Source organism: Homo sapiens, chromosome 5, assembly GCF_000001405.40.
Source record: "Homo sapiens chromosome 5, GRCh38.p14 Primary Assembly".
Taxonomy (NCBI): domain Eukaryota; kingdom Metazoa; phylum Chordata; class Mammalia; order Primates; family Hominidae; genus Homo; species Homo sapiens.
In genome coordinates, this window is record NC_000005.10 from 24,982,640 (window position 1) to 24,986,260 (window position 3,621).

General features: G+C 34.5%; 1 annotated feature.

The window, feature by feature from the left end:
* Positions 2,826-3,005: a silencer, noted in NCBI's record as "fragment chr5:24985574-24985753 (GRCh37/hg19 assembly coordinates)". NCBI's record gives its function as "represses an EF-1alpha promoter that drives an FKBP-Casp9 reporter gene in an ReSE screen in K562 erythroleukemia cells {active_cell/tissue: K562}" and the evidence as "EXISTENCE:reporter gene assay evidence [ECO:0000049][PMID:32094911]".

Below are 3,621 nucleotides of genomic sequence, written 5' to 3' on the forward strand. Positions count from 1 at the left end.
TATGCCATTATGCTGGGATAAATTGATTTGTGATCTATTACAAAGAAAATTTAAATCTTAATACAGCCCACTAAATTAAGCTGAGAATTCTATGATTCAAAATCACATAGATAATTCTAAATATAAATAATTTATTAGAGTGTTCATATATAGGCCAAAATTCTTTCACAGTGTATATAGTAGCCATTTTTAAAGCTGTGTATGGAGAAATCAATAAAAATAAGATTCAGAAAGTTTTTGTAGTTTAATTTTAACCCAGTGCTTATAAGACTTAGCCTAATAAAATTGAGAAGACAAGAAAAATTAAGTTTGTGAAATTGATTCTTAAAGAGCAGAGATTTTCTGGAGCTCAGCAGGTATGTGATATTTTCATAGCTAGAAATATGATTCAAAGAATAAAAATGTTTTCAACATGAAAGTGGGTATTATAATTGTCTAAAAATTCAGGATTTAAATATTATTCTAAAGTTATCCTTTTTAAAGTGATATTACAATTTTGTATTTATGTGTGTGTGTTCATGTGTTTTCACACAAAATGTGACATACAAAGGCTATCCAGAAGTTAATTTAAATTAAGTAGCACCGAGAAACGAAACTCCAAACCAGGATCACAATCATACTGACTCTGTGGTGGGGTATGAAATAAGGGACAATTAAAAAATAAGCTTTTCTATTCACTGTCATTTCTGTGCTCACTGTGTAAATCAATCAAATGGGAATCCTTGTCTTCAAAGGTTAAAATATGGGTGTAGCAAGTTTGTAGAAAATCTACTAAAACGTCTATGGTCATTATCAATCTTAATTCTTCAAAATGCAAATGACAGAAAACTCATATTGACTTAGGATAAAAAGAATGTATTGGATTAAATAATTGAAATGTCCCAATATGGCTACAGTTGGATATTCAAAGGATTTAAGAAAAACATGTGCTTATCTCTATATCTTAGCTTTGATTTCTATTGTGCTTTCTAAATTCGGACTGAGTCTTCCACACCATGCAAGCTGATCTCGAGTAGCCTTAAGCTCAATGTCTATGATCTTGACAATATCAGTAGAAGCAGATTGCTTATATTTACAACAGTTCCAACAACAACTCTGAACTCTCATTGACCTAGGGTTGCATACTCATCTCCATTAGACTAGATAAGGTTTGCTGCAGTCGTAAACACTCACCAAGCTTATTGTAGTTTAACACGAGAAAGTTTTATTTGTTGCTCAAGTCATGTCTGATGCAGTCATGCCGTCTTCAACTTACGACTCATGCCCTTAAATGTCTCCACAGCAGAGAAGAGAGAGGAACTACAGGAAAAGCACTATTTACTGGCTTGAAAAGGTTTCAATCAACGGACCCACCTGAACACAGGAGATATGGCTAAATATACCTTCATGTGTGCCAAGAAAGAGGAAAAGGAACAGGACTTGTTCCTGCCATGCCTTACTTTCCCAATCACTTTTCACTGAGGTTTGGTACGCGAGTGAACCAGACTAGGGTAACATATTCGCTCCTAATGTGGGCGGAGGTAGGAGGGTCAACACCAATGGCATTACAGGGGGCGTGGTGGTGGGGAGAATTCTCAAAATAACACAGAGTAGCTTTTGTAGATCAATGAGGGAATTGAGGCAGAAACACTAGATAGACTGACAAGCAAACTGCTCAGATATATAAAAGTTGTCTAGAGAAATGTTACCTTCTTATTTTTATCAAATAGTAATCCAGTTTGTCACATTTTAGTTGCTGTGTTTTTTTCATTATCTCATCTTCCCCAACCAAATATTGATAATAAAGTTGATGGCTAAATAACTGAAATATTATTATAAAAATGTCCTGATGCCATACTTAATGATGCTGTATTTCAGTAGGTATAATAAAAATGAATTTTCACTAAGGAGTACTATTTATTTTCAAGAAAGACACACTCTATGTGTATATTTGATAGATTACTATAAACTACAAGTCATTTTTGGAGTTAAGAAAGAAATAAGTGTAGCTGGTCATGGTGGCGGGTGCCTGTCTTCCCAGCTACTGGAGAGGCTGAGGCAGGAGAATCACTGGAACCCAGAAAATGGAGGTTGCAGTGAGCCGAGATCGTGCCACTGCACTGCACTGCCCTCCAGCCTGGGCTACAGAAGGAGACTCCATCTCAACAAAAAAAAAAAAAAAAAAAAAAAAAAAAAAAAAAAAAAAGAAAGAAATAAGAGGTATCTGAGTTACTAATACATATTCAAATTTGTGAAGATATCTTTAGATATTTTCCAGAATAATATATTCCTAGAATTTTAAAGTTAAAAATAATGCATCTCATCTGATCCAACAGGAATCTTATGTGTGAATGCCTTGTCTCTGACTGCATGCCACATGTATTGAATATTGGGTTACCGCAGTCTTTTTTATATTTAGATTCAATCCATATACCAAAATATTAATAGCTACCACATTTATTCATACGACTATTACCAGAGTTTAATGAAAATTGAGTTTCATCCAAAAGTTCTAATGAAATGAATAGAATGTTCCATTGACACCTAACAAATGTGTTGTGCAGACAGAAATCAGAAGTTCTGAATAGTCTCATATGCAAAGCTAACATCACTGTTTTATTTCTGTCAGGTCTATTATCTTGCCATTTTATTTTTTAGGTACTACGTTTAATTGATCTGCTGTCTCAAACAGGGAAAATTTCATCTTAATGCATTACGCAAATTAATTGCTAATCCATCATAGTCTCATTTAGTTCTTTAAAATACTATACAACAGGCTTATATTAAAAGCATGCCCAGCTACATTCAGATTGGATGTGCCTGATGTTATCACTTTTCCCCTGCCTCTAAAGAATTCTATATAGAAATGGGCTATCTGGGATCCTGGAAAGGCAGAGATTGTTCAGGGTCACCTGGGAAGGGATCCCATTGCCTTTGCTGAGAGGATATGGCCTCGCTGATGCTGTGCTGCTGCAGATATAGAAAAACATTAATATGTATAATATTTACTTAAGAGAGTTGCAGAGATTAGTAGTGTAAATCTTTGAAGAAGATGCTGCAACCTGGAGTATGAAAAGATTGTGGAAAGACAAGAATGTGGCAGTGTTTCCAACTCTGACAAGACATTACCCGTATGAAGAGTGTCCCCAGATAGAAACGGGAGGACAGAAAAAGTCACTCTAATTTATATCCCATTTACTTGTGCTCTGTACAGCCATTACTACATCTTTGGTTTTAAAAAATTAGGAATAAATGTGTTTTTACTGTCTTTCCCCACCAATCCATATTCTATTTGAAAATTGTCAAAGGATATTCTTTGAATTTTCATTTCTTTTAAAGCTTACTCCTGTAAGGTAGTAAACTTAATACCCTTTCTTGCCTTGTCTGAAAACTCATAGTGACCTCATCAGAGCTTACTGAGCCTCTAAATCTAACTTTACATTCACCAAAAACTTAGGCAATGGAGGAATATGTTAGATGACATCATGAGAATGAAATAATACAATTTCAGAAAGTGAGAAATTCTAAAGAATAAATGAGCCCATTTAAACAGTGAATGAATAAATAAAAGGCATGAACCAGACTAAATGAAGAAGAGGCTGTAATAAAGTAAATGATGGACCCCATTTGGATCTGGATTAT